The sequence below is a fragment of the Homo sapiens genome, chromosome 2, assembly GCF_000001405.40.
Source record: "Homo sapiens chromosome 2, GRCh38.p14 Primary Assembly".
In the NCBI taxonomy this organism is placed as follows: domain Eukaryota; kingdom Metazoa; phylum Chordata; class Mammalia; order Primates; family Hominidae; genus Homo; species Homo sapiens.
Window position 1 is genome coordinate 241,688,224 of NC_000002.12, and position 15,901 is coordinate 241,704,124.

General features: G+C 52.7%; 1 protein-coding gene across 21 annotated transcripts in view, besides 7 other annotated features; it reads left to right on the forward strand.

The window, feature by feature from the left end:
• The window catches only part of ING5 (inhibitor of growth family member 5), a 42,459-nt gene that overhangs the window by 1,204 nt on the left and 25,354 nt on the right, over nt 1-15,901 (forward strand). For 9 of the 21 annotated variants that reach the window (XR_007082549.1, XR_007082550.1, XR_007082546.1 and 6 more), the window contains exon 1: nt 13,816-13,879. Coding sequence is in view for 10 of the 21 variants with exons in the window: in XM_047446013.1 (XP_047301969.1) it covers nt 13,843-13,879 (37 nt within the window). In the remaining 11 variants the exon portion in view is untranslated. Of the gene's footprint in view, nt 1-1,614; nt 2,431-6,755; nt 7,234-13,815; nt 13,880-14,244; nt 15,661-15,901 lie in introns of those variants that run through there. The other 12 variants (XR_007082544.1, XR_007082545.1, XR_007082543.1 and 9 more) reach the window with 3 other exon arrangements.
• Nucleotides 13,110-13,929: a silencer, noted in NCBI's record as "silent region_12555". NCBI's record gives its function as "represses an Ori minimal core promoter by ATAC-STARR-seq in GM12878 lymphoblastoid cells {active_cell/tissue: GM12878}" and the evidence as "EXISTENCE:reporter gene assay evidence [ECO:0000049][PMID:35858748]".
• Nucleotides 13,110-14,066: a biological region, named in NCBI's record as "NANOG-H3K27ac-H3K4me1 hESC enhancer GRCh37_chr2:242640872-242641704".
• Nucleotides 13,234-14,066: an enhancer, noted in NCBI's record as "NANOG-H3K27ac-H3K4me1 hESC enhancer chr2:242640872-242641704 (GRCh37/hg19 assembly coordinates)". NCBI's record gives its function as "activates a minimal SCP1, AML or CMV promoter by ChIP-STARR-seq in naive H9 embryonic stem cells {active_cell/tissue: H9 hESC(naive)}" and the evidence as "EXISTENCE:reporter gene assay evidence [ECO:0000049][PMID:30033119]".
• Nucleotides 13,672-13,835: a silencer, noted in NCBI's record as "fragment chr2:242641310-242641473 (GRCh37/hg19 assembly coordinates)". NCBI's record gives its function as "represses an EF-1alpha promoter that drives an FKBP-Casp9 reporter gene in an ReSE screen in K562 erythroleukemia cells {active_cell/tissue: K562}" and the evidence as "EXISTENCE:reporter gene assay evidence [ECO:0000049][PMID:32094911]".
• Nucleotides 14,020-14,579: a silencer, noted in NCBI's record as "silent region_12556". NCBI's record gives its function as "represses an Ori minimal core promoter by ATAC-STARR-seq in GM12878 lymphoblastoid cells {active_cell/tissue: GM12878}" and the evidence as "EXISTENCE:reporter gene assay evidence [ECO:0000049][PMID:35858748]".
• Nucleotides 14,020-14,934: a biological region, named in NCBI's record as "H3K4me1 hESC enhancer GRCh37_chr2:242641943-242642572".
• Nucleotides 14,305-14,934: an enhancer, noted in NCBI's record as "H3K4me1 hESC enhancer chr2:242641943-242642572 (GRCh37/hg19 assembly coordinates)". NCBI's record gives its function as "activates a minimal SCP1, AML or CMV promoter by ChIP-STARR-seq in primed H9 embryonic stem cells {active_cell/tissue: H9 hESC(primed)}" and the evidence as "EXISTENCE:reporter gene assay evidence [ECO:0000049][PMID:30033119]".

Below are 15,901 nucleotides of genomic sequence, written 5' to 3' on the forward strand. Positions count from 1 at the left end.
GAGGCACTCTTACCTTTCGAGGCGATTATTCTTGGGAGGCACCCTCAGCCAGAAATATAGATGAAATTCAAAGCTGTTCTGTTTTCAGAACCACCTGCCTCTGATGTAGACCAAGAAATTGCTGGTAGCTTTCTAAGTGTTGAGTTTGCATTGGTTTTTTCCCCATGAGCTCTTGAGACCACCACCCACTTCAGTGCTTTGGGCTGAGGTCATTGGCAACAATTTCCCGGACTTTACTCCCAGCATTTGTGTAAGCTCGCGATTATATTATCATTGCATACCTAGAGTAGCTTTATGTTTTCCAGACTGAAGCCTCCCCAATTCAGTTTGGGGTTCTGGAAGGATATGGGTTATATTGTTATTACCAGTTATGCCCTTTCTTCCTTTTTAATTTACTTTTATTGCTTTTATTTTATTTGAGACGGAGTCCTGCTCTGTCCCCCAGGCTGGAGTGCAGTGGCGCGATCTCAGCTCACTGCACCCTCCACCTCCCGGGTTCAAGCTATTCTCCTGCCTCAGCCTCCTGAGTAGCTGGGATTACAGGCGCCCACCACCACGCCCGGCTAATTTTTGTATTTTTATTTTATTTTTTTGAGATGGAGTCTTGCTCTGTTGCCCAGGCTGGAGTGCAGTGGCGCAATCTTGGCTCACTGCAAGCTCCACCTCCCGAGTTCATCCCATTCTCCTGCCTCAGCCTCCCCACTAGCTGGGACTACAGGTGCCCACCATCATGCCCGGCTAATTTTTTTTGTATTTTTTAGTAGAGACGGGGTTTCACCGTGTTAGCCAGGATGGTCTCGATCTCCTGACCTCATGATCCGCCCATCTCAGCCTCCCAAAGTGCTGAGATTACAGGCGTGAGCCACTGCGCCCGGCCAATTTATTTTTTAATTTAATTTTTTTTTTGAGACGGAGTTTCTGTCTTGTGGCCCAGAGTGGAGTGCAATGGCATGATCTTGGCTCACTGCAACCTCCACTTCCCGGGTTCAACCTATTCTCCTGCATCAACCTCCCAAGTAGCTGAGATTACAGGCACCTGCCACCACGCCCAGCTAATTTTTGTATTAGTAGAGATGGGTTTTCACCATGTTTGCCAGGCCGGTCTCAAATTCCTGACCTCGGGTGATCCGCCCACGTCAGCCTCCCTAAGTGCTGGGATTACAGACGTGAACCACTGCACCTGGCCTACCCTTTCTTCCTTTACGTCAAGCTTAGTGGTGAGACTTCCAAATGGTAATGTAAAGTAGTCTGCTGTCATGTGCCCTGTTCAGGCAGAAGCTTTAAAGGGTGTTTTGTGGTTTGGTCCCTCCCCTTCTGCCCCCAGCATGAACACAGCATGTGCACAGTGAGGGCTGGTTTTTCACCCCAGATCCTGTAACAAAGGCCCATGAAGTACAGCCGTTGTAGCTGATGGGCAGCACCAGCAAGAAGTAAACCATCGTGATTTCGAGTCACTGAGACTTCGGGATCCTTTGTTACCACAGCACAACCTAGCGAACGCTTACAAGTACTAAGAATAGTACTTACTATTCCCTTACATAGATAAGTAATAAAAGTAATATCCTTTTTTCTGATTGATGTCTCCTTATAAAATTCCATCTTGTTGCCTTCCAGAGGATGAAGGGGATTGTAGTAAGGAAGACCACCTTCCAGAGGATGAAGGGGATTGTAGTAAGGAAGACCACCTTCCAGAGGATGAAGGGGATTGTAGGAAGGAAGACCACCTTCCAGAGGATGAAGGGGATTGTAGGAAGGAAGACCACCTTCCCGGGGCTGGGCAAGGCTGCGGTACTGTCTCTCATCAGGTCCAGGAGGACTCAGCAGGCTGATGCAGAGGGACACAGCGCATCCGCCTTGGTGGATGCATGGCTTTCCTGGCTCCCCTGGGACGGGGGAGGAGGGTGAAGATGGAGGGAATCTGGCTGGCTGGGCCTTGTGTACTGGGGGGTGGAGGGCCCATTTGACTGCAGGAATTGCTCAAGCACATAAGCACCTTGAAGTGTGTTACTAAGATACAAGAAACAGGTTTGCTTTTGCCTATTCCAGCATGGTGTACCTCTCTTAGGATACCTTTTAGCACAGGTAGCAGAATACCAGCCAGCCTCCTGTGGCTCACAGCATTAAGATATTTAATCATCTGACATTACATGAAGTCCAGTGTTAGGCAGGCAGGAGCTGCTCCCGTGACTCAGTGACATCAGGTTGGTCCACATCCTAGCAGTTCTCTTGGTGTTCCTGCGTGATCAAAGGATGACTGCCACACCCCAGCCTGCTGACCTCAGCCCTGGCGTGGGCATAGGAGGGTCTGCGTGGCTGAGCATCCAGTGTCCTTCGTACTGCCACTGACAGCCTCAGGCCTGATTTCCAGCACTGTCTGTCCAGGAGCAATGGGAGCAAGAGTCACTCCACGAGACTCTGGAGGCCTGATAGGTGAGTACATCCACTTTATAGGGGAAATGGTGGGATGCTGGGTCTGTGTGGTCAGAGATACAGGTGAAATGGAGTTGGCCACAGGCTGATAATTGCAGAAAGATGCAGGTGAACACATGGGTTCGTGGGTTCATTAGGTTCTCTGCTTGCTTTTTTTTTTTTTCTTTTTTTCCCAGACAGCCTCGGTCTGTTACCCAGGCTGGAGTCCAGTGGTGTGATCTCAGCTCGCTGCAACATCCACCTCCTAGGTTCAGACGATTCTCCTGCCTCAGCCTCCCAAGTAGCTGGGATTTACAGGCGCCCGCCACAACACCCGGCTAATTTTTTGTATTTTTAGTAGAGACAGGATTTCACCATGTTGGCCAGGCTGGTCTTGAACTCCTGACCTCAGGTGAGTCCACCTGCCTCAGCCTCCCAAAGCGCTGGGATTACAGGCGTGAGCCAGCGCACCCAGCCAGGTTATCTGCTTTCTTGTGTTTGAGATTTTCCATTTAAAAAAAAGGACCTGGGTGTTGTGGCTGACACCTGTAATCCCAGCACTTTGGGAGGCCGAGGTGGGTGAATCATTTGAGGTCAGGAGTTCAAGACCAGCCTAGACAACATGGTGAAACACCGTCTCTACTAAAAATACAAAAATTAGCTGGGTGTGGTGGCACATGCCTGTAATCCCAGCTACTTGGGAGGTTGAGACAGGAGAATCACTTGAACCTGGGAGGTGGAGGTTGCAGTGAGCTGAGATCATGCCACTGCACTGCAGCCTGGGTGACAGAGTGAGACACTGTCTCAAAAAAAAAAAACAAAAACAAAAAAACTGAAGGAGCAGGAAAGCTCTTTTGCTAGTCCCTGTTTCTTAGTGTGCTGCAACTTCCACCACGCAGGGAATAAAGTCTCTCACCGTCAGTGGGCTGGGGCTGTCACGACAGACTACCTTAGACTGGGGAACTGAAGCAATAGGCATTTATTGGCTGGAAGTCCAAGATTAAGGTGCCCGACAGATTGCTGCCTGGTACGGGCTGTCTTTTAGAGTTGCACATAGCAAAGAGAATGCTCTGGTACCTCTTCCTTTTCTCATGAGGGTACCAGCCCTATCGGATTAGGGTTGCACCCTTATTGAAACCATCCCTGGCCAGGCATGGTGGCTCACACCTACAATCCCAGCACTTTGGGAGGCAGGTAGATTGCTTGAGCTCAGGAGTTTGAGACCAGCCTGGGCAACATAGACTTATTTGTAGATTTATTTATCTCTACAAAATAAATAGGTGGGCGTGCCTATAGTCCCAGCTACTTGGGAAGCTGAGGTGGGAGGATCACTTGAGCCTAGGAGGTTGAGGCTGCAGTGAGCCATGGTTGCGCCACTGCACTCCAGCCCAGGTGACAGAGTGAGACCTTGTCTCAATTTTTAAAAAAATATAAAAAAAGAAAACCGTCACTAAAAACACAAAATTAATCAAGGAAGAGGGGAGGGGGAAATGGAATAACCGAGCTTGCAGCACACGCAGCACCAGTCATGTGGTGAGCCCCTCTGAGCTGGCGCCTCGTGCCTCAGAATCAGGTAGACTCTTGTTATAAGATTACAGTTACCCTTAACTGCTCCAGAGATAACAACTTGAACATTATGAAACCTTAACTTTTCCCTTTGAGATTTTTTTTTTATTTTAATTTTTTTTTCTTTTTAGAGACAGGGTCTCACTCTTGTTCAGGCTGAAGTGCAGTGGCACAATCGTAGCTCACTGCAGCCTTGAGGTTCTGGTCTCGAGTGATCCTCCTGCCTCAGCATCTGAAGTATCTGGAACTACAGGCACACACATCTGGCTTTTTTTTTTTTTTAAATACTGACGGGGTCTTGCCCTGTTGCCCAGGCTGGTCTTGAACTGGTGGGCCCAAGCGGTCATCCTGCCTCGGCCTCCTGAAGCCCTGGGATTGCAGGCATGAGCCACCACGCCCAGCCTGAGATTCTTTCAGGCCCTGCATACCAGTGAAAGTACTGATGCCAGCTGCTCTGAAGGACCCCACAGGAGCTGACTCAGCAAGGAATGCAGTTTCCACATTCTAGTGAATCATCCTCCTTACCCTGGCCAGTCAGCGACCCCCATTTTCCAGCCCCTCACCTTCCATGATCCCCTTAAAAACCTTAGCTCAGAACTCCTGAGGGAGATGTATTTGAGGAGACGTCTCCTTTCACCTCCTCACCTGGGCCTTGTTAAACTCTTTCTCTGCTGCAAACCCTGCTGTCTGAGCATCATGGGTCTGTTAACTGTGCAGCAGACACATGAAAACTGTTGGTCCTATCACATTAGGACTTCATTTAACCTTAATTAGCTCCTTGGCCAGGTGCGTTGGCTCACGCCTGTAATCTCAGCACTTTGGGAGGCAGAGGCGGGCAGATCACGAGATCAGGAGCTCGAGACCAGCCTGGCCAACGTGGTGAAACCCCGTCTCTACTAAATATACACAAATTAGCTGGGTGTGGTGACGGGCGCCTGTAATCCCAGCTACTCAGGAGGCTGAGGCAGGAGAATTGCTTGAACCCAGGAGGCGGAGGTTGCAGCTGAGATCGCCCTATTGCACTCCAGCCTGGGCGACAGGGCGAGACTGTCTCAAAAAAAAAAAAAAAAAAAAGCAAAGCTCCTTAAGGGCCCTATCTACAAACAGTCACGTTGGGGGTCAGGGCTTCAACACAGGAATTTTGAGGGACACAGTTCAGTCCATGTCCTCACCTGCTCCCAGGAGCTTCGAGTTGTGCTGGTACTCACTGCTCTGCTAAACTCCCAACCCTCCTTGCAGGTAGATGTGGCATGTGGACCTTCACACAGCAGGCTTGCATCCCCTACGCTCTCCGACATACCCCTTGTTGCAACCCAGCCTTGACCAGGCAGACGATGGCAAGGCCCTTTGTGGACAGACACCATACAAGAAGGAATGTGGGTCCCTGAGAGGCCCCATGGAGTGTGCTGTCCCGCCTGTTCACATTAGAGTTGTTGCACTGAGAAATACAACTCTTTTTTTTTTTTTTTTTTTTTTTGAGACTGAGTCTTGCTCTGTCGCCCAGGCTGGAGTGCAATGGCGCAGTCTCGGCTAACTGCAACCTCCACCTCCCAGGTTCAAGCAATTCTCCTGCCTCAGCCTCCCGAGTAGCTGGGATTACAGGCACCCACCACCATGCCTGGCTAATTTTGTATTTTTAGTAGAGACGGGGTGTTTCACCATGTTGGCCAGGCTGGTCTCGAACTCCTGACCTCAGGTGATCCACCCGCCTTGGCCTCCTAAATTGCTGGGATTACAGGCATGAGCCACCGCGCCTGGCCCTCTCTGGCAGTTTCTAAAACAGGGTCCCTTCAAAAGGGTTTGCCAGTTTTGTGTGTGTGAATGAAAGAAGACAAATTGATCTCTGGGAGAGTTATATTTAATATATGATATGTGAGGGCCAATAACCCTTAATAATAAAGATTTTTTTTTTTTAGACAAAATACATGAAGACCAGTTTCTACACAGAGAATCACTAAAAGATGGCCAGGCGCGGTGGCTCACGCCTGTAATCCCAGCACTTTGGGAGACCGAGGCGGGCGGATCACAAGGTCAGCAGATCGAGACCATCCTGGCTAACATGGTGAAACCCCATCTCTACTAAAAATACAAAAAATTAGCCCGGCGTGGTGGCGGGCGCCTGTAGTCCCAGCTTTTCGGGAGGCTGAGGCAGGAGAATGGCATGAACCTGGGAGGCAGAGCTTGCAGTGAGCCAAGATCACACCACTGCACTCCAGCCTGGGCGACAGAGCGAGACTCCATCTCAAAAAAAAAAGAATCAGTAAAAGATATAAAGGAGAAAAGGACAGAACCACAAATAGGCAACAAATATGTTAAAAAAAAGTTTAGCTTCACTTAAAATGAAATAAATGTGATTAAAATATTTAAGGTTGGCTTTTTCCCCCCTCTAATGAGTTAGCGAAGGTTAAACATTTAAAAAGCCTGATGAAATCTAGGGTTGGCAGAAGTATGGAAAGCAACCAGTGGCCATGCTGGTTGGTATAACCTTCCCTTTGGGCAATTCATTTATAAGTATCAGCACTTAAAATGTGCAATACTCGGCCAGGCATGGTGGCTCACACTGTAATTCTAGCACTTTGGGAGGCCGAGGCGAGTGGATGATGAGGTCAGGAGTTCGAGACCAGCCTGGCCAACATAGTGAAAACCGGTCTCTACTAAAAATACAAAAAAAATTGGTAGGGCTTGGTGGCGGGCGCCTGTAGTCCCAGCTACTTGGGAGGCTGAGGCAGGAGAATCGCTTGAACCCAGGAGGAGGAGATTGCAGTGAGCCGAGATTGCGCCACCGCACTCCAGCCTTGCGACAGAGCAAGACTCCGTCTCAAAAAAAAAGGACTGGTAAGACAATGTGGTATTCTTGCTCCTCCTCCCACTGTTAGTTGTGGGTATAATGTTTCTCCCATTCAACCTGGGTCGGCCCCAGTGACTTGCTTGACCAATAGAATGTAGTGAGGTGATGTCTTAGGGCTACCAAAGTGAGGTCACAAGAGCCGGTGGCTTCCACCCCAGCCTCCTGGGACTCTGTGAGACCCGCTGCTACTGAGACTGCTGTGCTGGAGAGGCCACATGTGGGTGTTCTGGCCCACGGTGCCAGCTGACATCAGCCTTCCAGCCACCCCAGTGATCTCTTTTCTGTCACACTGGACAGGACAGTCACCTGGTGGAGCTGCTGAAATTCCTGGCACGCTGTCACATATAACAAAATAGTTCTTGGCGGCACGGTGGCTCACGCCTGTAATCCCAGCACTTTGGGAGGCCAAGGTGGGTGGATCACAAGGTCAGGAGTTCAAGACCAGCTTGGCCAATTTGGTGAAAGCCCATCTCTACTAAAAATACAAAAATTAGCTAGGCATGATGGCACGCGCCTGTAGTCCCACCTACTCAGGAGGCTGAGGCAGCAGAATTGCTTGAACCCAGGAGGTGGAGGTTGCAGTGAGCTGAGATCGCGCCACCACACTCCAGCCTGGGTGACAGAGCAAGATTCCGTCTAAAAAAAAATGGTTCTTTTAAACCACTAAGTTTTCAGGGGTCTGTAAGGCGGTGATACATAATGGGAACAGATACTTGCAGTTCTATGTATAGCCATGTTCATTACAGCATGATTTATGATACTGAAATATTGGGAACATCTGTAAAGAGTTTGTTAAAGTCTGATACACCACTACAATGAAATAGATCTAGTCAGTGGGACAAAGCAGGGTGAGTAAAGCAGGGCCAGATGCTCACAAGGAGTATTCAGCTAAAAATGTAAGACAGGCTGGGTGCGGCAGCTTATACCTATAGTCCCAGCATTTGCGGAGGCCAAGGCAAGAAGATTGCTTGAGCCCAGGAGGTCAAGCTGCAGTGAACTGTGATCACACCACTGTCCTCCAGCCTGGGCGACAATGTGAGATCCTGTCTCAAAAAACAAAACAGGCTGGGCTCGGTGTCTCATGCCTGTAATCCCACCACTTTGGAAGGCCGAGGCGGGCAGATCACGAGGTGAGGAGTTCGAGACCAGCCTGGCCAACATAGTGAAACCCCGTGTCTACTAAAAATACAAAAAATTAGCCGGGTGTGGTGGTGGGTGCCTGTAATCCTAGCTACTCGGGAGGCCAAGGCCGGAGAATCGCTTGAACCTGGGAGGTGGAGGTTGCAACAAGCCGGGATCTCGCCACTGCACTCCAGCCGGGGTGACAGTGCAAGACTCCATCTCAAAAACAAAAACAAAAACAAAAACCCCCCAAAACAAAAAACAAAACAGAATGAAAAGTAGTAGAAAAATGGTGAGTCAGTAAAAGAACAACCCCATGAAAAAATGGGCAAAAGTGCTGGGTGCGGTGGCTCATGTCTGTAATCCCAGCACTTGGGGAGGCTGAGGCTGGAGGAGTGCTTGAACCCAGGAGTTGGAGACCAGCCTGGGCAACATAGATACCCCAACTCTACAGAAAAAAAATTAAAAATTAGCCAGGTGTCATGGTGTGTGCTTGTAGTCCCAGATATTGAGGGCTGAGGCAACAGGTCCTTTGAACCCAGGAGGTCGAGGCTGCATGAGCCATGATTGTGCCACTGCACTTCAGCCTGGGTGACAGAGCAAGACCCTGACTCTAAAAATAATAATAACCAAGGCTGGGTGTGGTGGCTTATGCCTCTCATCCCAGCACTTTGGGAGGCCGAGGCGGGCAGATCACAAGGTCAAGAGATAGAGACCATCCTGGCCAATGTGGCGAAACCTTGTCTCTACTAAAAATACAAAAATTAGCTGGGCATGGTGGCAGGCACCTGTAATCCCAGCTGCTTGGGAGGAAGAGGCAGGAGAATCGCTTTAACCCAGGAGGCGGAGGTTGCAGTGAGCCGAGATTGCGCCACGGCACTCCAGCTTGGGTGACAGAGAGACAGACTCCGTTTCAAAATAATAATAATAATATAATAATCAAAAATTGGAAGTAACCAAGATGCTCTTTAATAAGTACATGGGTGGCCAGGGGCTGTGGCTCATGCCTGTAATCCTAGCACTTTGGGAGGCCGGGGCAGGCGGAACACAAGGCCAGGAGATCAAGACCATCCTGGCTAACACGGTGAAACCCCATGTGTACTAAAAATACAAAGAATTAGACAGGCGTGGTGTCGGGCGCCTGTAGTCCCAGCTACTCGGGAGGCTGAGGCAGGAGAATGGCATGAACCCGGGAGGCGGAGCTTGCAGTGAGCCGAGATCCTGCCACTGCACTCCAGCCTGGGTGACAGAGCGAGACTCTGTCTCAAAAAAAAAAAAAAAAAAAGTACATGGGTAAACTGTGGAACATCCGGACGTTGGAATATTTTTCAAATTAAACATGAACTAGCTATTAAGCCACGGAAAGGCACGCTGGGACCTTAAATGCATATTGCTGAGTGAAAGAAGCCATTCTGAAAAGGCTCATACTGTATGATTCCAATTACATGACATTCTGGAAAAAGCAAACTGGAAACAGTAAAATGATCAGTGGTTGCCAGGGGCCTCGGGAGGGGGAGAGGGATGAATCGGGAAGCGCAGGGGATTTTTAGGGCCACAAAACTATGCTGTATGACATGTAATGGGGGGTAGCTGACATTATACATTTGTCAAAACCTATAAGAATGCACAAGGCACTGGGCGTGGTGGCTCACGCCCGTAATCCCAACACTTTGGAAGGCTGATGCCAGTGGATCACCTAAGTTTAGGAGTTTGAAACCAGCCTGGCCAACAGGGTGAAACCCCATCTCTGCTTAAAATACAAAACTTAGCCAGGCGTGGTGGTGCCTGCCTGTAATCCCAGCTACTTGGGAGGCTGAGGCAGGAGAATGGCTGGAACCCAGAAGGCGGAGGTTGTAGTAAGCCAAGATTGCACCATTGCACTCCATCCTGGGCGAAGAAGCCAGGCTCCATCTCAAAAAAAAAAAAAAAAAAGCACAAGGCAGAATGAACCCTTATGGAAATAATGATGGACTTTGGTTAATAATAATGTATCGGGCCCGCCGTGGTGGCTCACGCCTGTAATCCCAGCACTTTGGGAGGCCAAGGCAGGAGGATCATGAGGTCAGGTGATCAAGACCATCCTGGCTAACACGGTGAAACCCCCGTCTCTACTGAAAATACAAAAAATTAGCCGGGCATGGTGGCGGGCACCTGTAGTTCCAGCTACTCAGGAGGCTGAGGCGGGAGAATGGCGTGGATCCGGGAGGTGGAGCTTGCAGTGAGCCGAGCCCAGCTAATTTGAGGTCTCAAAAAAAAAAAAAGTATCAATATTGTTTCATCGATTGTAACAAATGTATCACATTAATGCAAAATGTTTATAATAGAGGAGTGTGTGTGTGTGTGTGTGTGTGTGTGTGTGTGTGTGTGTGTGGAGGAGTATATGAGAAGTCTACTTTCTCTTCAACTTTTCAATAAACCTAAAACTGATGGAAAAATAGTCTATAATTAAATGAGGCCAGTAAGGATGCACTCAAACTGCTAACATTAGGACTGAAAGCTGAACAAGGCAATCACAGTCCTGCCCCCTGGGGAGGTGGGAAGCTAAAAGTTCCTGTATTGTTTAATTTTTTTGTTTTTGAGACAGAGTCTTGCTCTTGTTGCCCAGGCTGGAATGCAATGGCATGATTTTGGCTCACCGCAGCCTCTGCCTCCTGGGTTCAAGTGATTCTCCTGCCTCACCTTCCCAAGTAGCTGGGATTACAGGCAGCTACCACCACAACCAGCTACTTTTGTATTTTTAATAGAGATGGGGTTTCTCTGTATTGGTCAGGCTGGTCTCGAACTCCCGACCTCAGGTGATCCACCCACCTTGGCCTCCCAAAGTGCTGGGATTACAGGCGTGAGCCACCACCCCAGCTGAATTTTTTTTTGGGGGGGGAGGGGTTTGCTCTTGTAGCCCAGGCTGGAGTGCAATGGCATGACCTCAGCTGACTGCATCCTCTGCCTCCTAGGTTCAAATGATTCTCCTGCCTCAGGCTCCCGAGCAGCTGAGATTGCAGGCCCATGCCCACCACGCCTGGCTAATTTTGTATTTTTAGTAGAGACTGGGTTTCTCCATGTTGGTCAGGCTGGTCTCAAACTCCTGACCTCAGGTGATCCACCCACCTCATCCTTCCAAAGTGCTGGGATTACAGGCGTGAGCCACCATGCCTGGCCTGAATTTTTATAATGAACATAATAGTGGCAAAAACATTGTTTCTGGTTTTCAATATTTGACTGGGGTTTAGGGAAGAGTCCACCAAGGGGGACATAGCTTGTTTTTTTAGGTGGGGGTCTCCGTCACCCAGGCAAGAGTACAGTGGTTTGATCATGGCTCACTGCAGCCTAGACCTCCTGGGCTCAAGCCATCCTCCCGCCTCAGCCTCTCATGGTGATCATACGGATTTGAGTCACAGCAGCTGGCTTAATATCTTTAAAAATGCATTTTAAATAATGAAAGTACTGCTCCTTTGATCAGCTTATGCTAATTTGTGTGACCAGCAACGTTGCATCTCGGAAGTCAAGGATGTGGCTGGGGGTGGGGCGGGGGGTTCTGGGGCCTACACGTTACATCTAGTGGTCATCAGTTCTTGGGGCTCGGGGAGCCTTTGGGACGTCCTCTTGAGATCACAGGGAGTGGAGACAGGACTGGGAAGTGACACACCTCACCCATGAAAGACCTGCCAGAGATGAGTTTGATCCCCAGCTTGGGGGCGTCCAGTGGTGAAGTGGGAAGAGGAGTGACATGGGTACTGGTGAGCACTGCATGATGATGCTACACAGTTTGGAGGCAGAGAAGAATCACCCCAAAGACTAATATTTAAACACTTTAAATTATTTTATTTTATATTTTAAGATGGAGTCTCGCTCTGTCACCCAGGCTGGAGTGCAGTGGCACGATCTCGGCTCACTGCAACCTCCACGTACCAGGTTCAAGTGATTCTCCTTCCTCAGCCTCCTGGGTAGCTGGGATTACAGGCACCAGCCATTATGCCCGGCTAAGTTTTTTTTTTTTTTTTTTTTTTTTGGGACGGAGTGTTGCTCTGTCGCCCAGGCTGGAGTGCAATGGCACGATCTCGGCTCACCGCAAGCTCAGCCTCCCGGGTTCACGCCATTCTCCTGCCTCGGCCGCCCGAGTAGCTGGGATTACAGGCGCCCGCCACCATGCCCAGCTAATTTTTTTGTAGTTTTAGTAGAGATGGGGTTTCACCGTGTTAGGCAGGATGGTCTCAATCTCCTGACCTCGTGATCCTCCCGCCTTGGCCTCCCAAAGTGCTGGAATTACAGGAGTGAGCCACCGCGCCTGCCCTATTTTATTTTATTTTTGAGATGGAATCTTGCTCTGCTGGCCAGGCTGGAGTGCAGTGGTGCAATCTCGGCTCACTGCAACCTCCGCCTCCCAAGCTCAAGCGATTCTCCTGTTTCAGCCTCCCGAGTATCTGGGATTACAGGTACTTGCCACCATGCCCGGCTAGTTTTTGTATTATTATTATTTTGAGACGGAGTCTTGCTCTTGTCACCCAAGCTGCAGTGCAGTTACATGATCTCTTCTCACTGCAACCTCCCTCTCCCAAGTTCAAGTAATTTTCCTGCCTCAGTCTCCGAGTAGCTGGGAGTACAGGCGCCCGCCACCACGCCCGGGTAATTTTTGTATTTTTAGTAGAGACATGATTTCGCCACGTTGGCCAGGCTGGTCTCAAATTCCTGCCCTCAAGTGATCCGCCCGCCTCGGCCTCCCAAAGTGTTGGGATTACAGGCGTGAGCCACCGTGCCGAGTCTGAAACATATTTTAATTATGTTTCTCCAGTATTTTTTTTTTCTTAAAATTTTCTTTTTTTTTTTTGAAGACAGAGTCTTGCTCTGTCGCCCAGGCTGGAGTGCAGACGCGATCTCAGCTCACTACAACCTCCGCCTCCCGGGCTCAGCCTCCGGAGTAGCTGGGACTACAGGCGTGCGCCACCACGCTTGGCTAATTTTTTTTTTTTTTTGTATTTTTAGTAGAGTCGGGGTTTCAACACGTTGGCCAGGCTGGTCTCAAATTCCTGCCCTCAAGTGATCCGCCCGCCTCGGCCTCCCAAAGTGATGGGATTACAGGCGTGCGCCAGCGCGCCGGCCTTCTCCAGTATTTTTGCATGCATCTTACGGCACACCTTTGCACGCCATCTTATTAACTATATCATACTGCCGCACGTGCCTTTTCGGCCAAGGCATCCAGATGGTGCGGGTCCTGCCTGCCTCGAGAGGTGGCAGCAAAGGAGCCAGTGCCCTCACTGGTGCTGGGCGGGGCGGCCGCTTTCCTCGGAGGGAAGGGGCGGCGTTGGCGGGGGAAGGGCGCCAGGGCCCAGGCCCTGAGGGAGGGGCAGCTCGCCCGGGCCACGCGGTGCCGGCCCTCGGCTCAGGCCGGGCTGAGGCCCCGGGGGCTCGGGGTCCGGGGGAAAGGCGCTGAGCCAGACAGGTCCCAAGGAGCCTTCGGGAAGGGAGGGCCTCGTGGCGGCCTGTCCGGGACCCGGCCGGGAGCAGGGGTCGCGTGGGCGCCGTCAGGACGGGCGTGAGGTCCCCGGGACCACGTGTTTGCGTTTGGTGGCCCAGGGGTCGCTGACAGGTGCGGAGGGGAGACGCCCACCTGGGTGCCCTGGGCCGCACGCCGGGCGGTGGGGCCGGGAACCCCTGCTCCTCCTCGGCCTCCGATCCGCTGCGGCCCTGGGTCCTGCTCGCTGCCCGACGCCGCTGCCACAACCTCCGCCCGGGCCCCGCAGCCCGCCGCCCGCCGGAAGCTGAAAGGCGTGTCCGACCCCGCCCCCGGGCGCGACCAATCAGCGCGCGCGACTCATGAATAGTGAGCGCGCTGGCACCGCCCCGCCCCCGCCTCCCGCGGCACCGCCCGCCCGCGCAGACCCCGAGCGCGGCCGCGGACGAAGATGGCGACCGCCATGTACTTGGAGCACTATCTGGACAGTAAGCGCGCCCCACGGGCCCCGCGCCCGCCGCCCACGCGGAGTCCTCCGTGCCGCAGCCCCCCGCGCGCCGGGCACCGCATGCAGACCCCGTGGGCTCGGGAGGGCGGCGGGCGCGGCCGGGCGCGACGGGGGGCGCGCGGACGGGGCGGGGCAGGGCCGCAAGGGAGGGGAGGGCGCGGGGGGCGGGCGCGGGGGGTCCCGCCGGCTGGGTCGCGCCAATTCCAGGTGCGTCACGGCGGGGCGGGGCCTGGCGATGCTGGGCGGGGCTTGCGGCCTCGACCCCGCCCACATATTAGGTCCCGCCCCTACCCAGGCCCCGCCTCATCTCCGCCCCCAGCTCCGGCCCCGGCCCCGCCAGGTCCCGCCCGTCCCTGTCCCGTCTGCAGGAGGAGCTGGCGCCCGCTGCGGGGCTCCGGGCCTTGGGGGCTCCGGGGTCTGGGCCTCCGCCTGGCTGTGCGCCCGTGTGCGCCGGCCTCTTGTGTGACCGCGGCTGGGGAGGGCGTGCGGGCCGCGGGGCGTCTCTCCCCGGCACTGGGGACTGCGGCGCGGAGGCGGGGAGGGCGGTGCCGAGTCGGCCCTGGTGGGCGGGCTGTGCTGTTTCCAGGTGGCAGCAGGTCGGCGCCCCCAGCGGCTGAGCGGACGGTGCTTTCCCTCACTTTACACACCAGGGAAGGTCCAGCGCTGCCGAGCAGCCTGCTCAGGGTCTCCCGCTCGTAGAGGGGCAGACCCCACGCGGGACCCCTGACGTCGGCCCGGGATGGGCACAGCTTTGGGGTCGCGGTGTTTGGGGTTGTGCCGGGTGGCTCTGGAGGGCCCTTGTGGGGGCGCTGCACTGGGGATCCTCATGGTCTTCGGCCTGGCACCCGCCCAGGGGCTGAGACAGTGGCGAGTGAGCCGTGGCCTGGAGCTGGAGACCGCTGCCCTAGAGGGACGCCCGATTCTGCCCATGTGCTCCGCTGTCTCTTGGGGGTCTGAGTAGTGGGGGGTTCCCTGGGTAGAAGAGTCAAGCTGGGGAGCACGCTGGAGGGGAGGCCTTCTCTATCCTGGTGCCCAGCCAGTGGGCTGGCCTCCCAAGGAGGGTTGACTTTGTGTGTGTCTGGGAGGCTGTGCCAGCCGGGAGGCTGTGCCTCTGTCCTCTAGGGGAGCTGGGAAAACACTGGGGCTGGAAGCATCAGATGCATAAGATAGAGTTAGGTTTAAAATGATTGCCTGGTAACTGTGAACAGCAGATGGGAGGGTGGCCAAGACTGGAGGAGGCAGCCCCCCTTAGGAGCCTGTGTCAGCTGTGCAGGGGGCGGAGGTTGGCCTGGTCTAGGGGGTAACAAAGCAGACGCGAAAGCAGCACGGGGGTCCTCCTGGCAGACTGTGGGGAATGGTTGCGCTAGCCACAGGGACTATTTAAGTAAAATTAAAAATTGAATGGCGTTAGTCCCATTTCCAGTGCTCAGTAGCTCCCTATGGCCACCACTGTCTTGGGCAGCTCAGAGAGAACATTTCTTTTCTTTTTCTTTTTTTGATTTTTTTTGAAATGGAGTCTCACCCTGTTGCCCAGGTTGGAGGGTATGATCTCAGCACACTGCAACCTCCACCTCCCAGGTTCAAGCAATTCTCATGCCCTAGCCTCTCGAGTAGCTGGGACTGTAGCTGTGCACCACCACGCCTGGATAATTTTTGTATTTTTAGTAGAGACAGGGTTTCACCATGTTGGCCAGGCTGGTCTTGAACTCCTGACCTCAACTGATTTGCCTGTCTTGATCTCCCAAAGTGCTGGGATTACAGGTATGAGCCACCACGCCCATCCGAGAGAGGAAACATTTCTATCCTTGCATAAAGTCGCGTGGGCAGCGTGGCTACACTGCTCAATGCACTGGATTTCTGGGTAAAGTAGGGGAAGATCAAGGAGGACCCAGGGGATTTTGGCTTGAGCCTTGGAAGATGCTGCTCACTGAGGGGGGGCAGCCTAGAGGGTGGGGTCAGTTGGCCTCCCCTGCCTGTGCTGTTGGTTTCCAAGTTTCCCTCT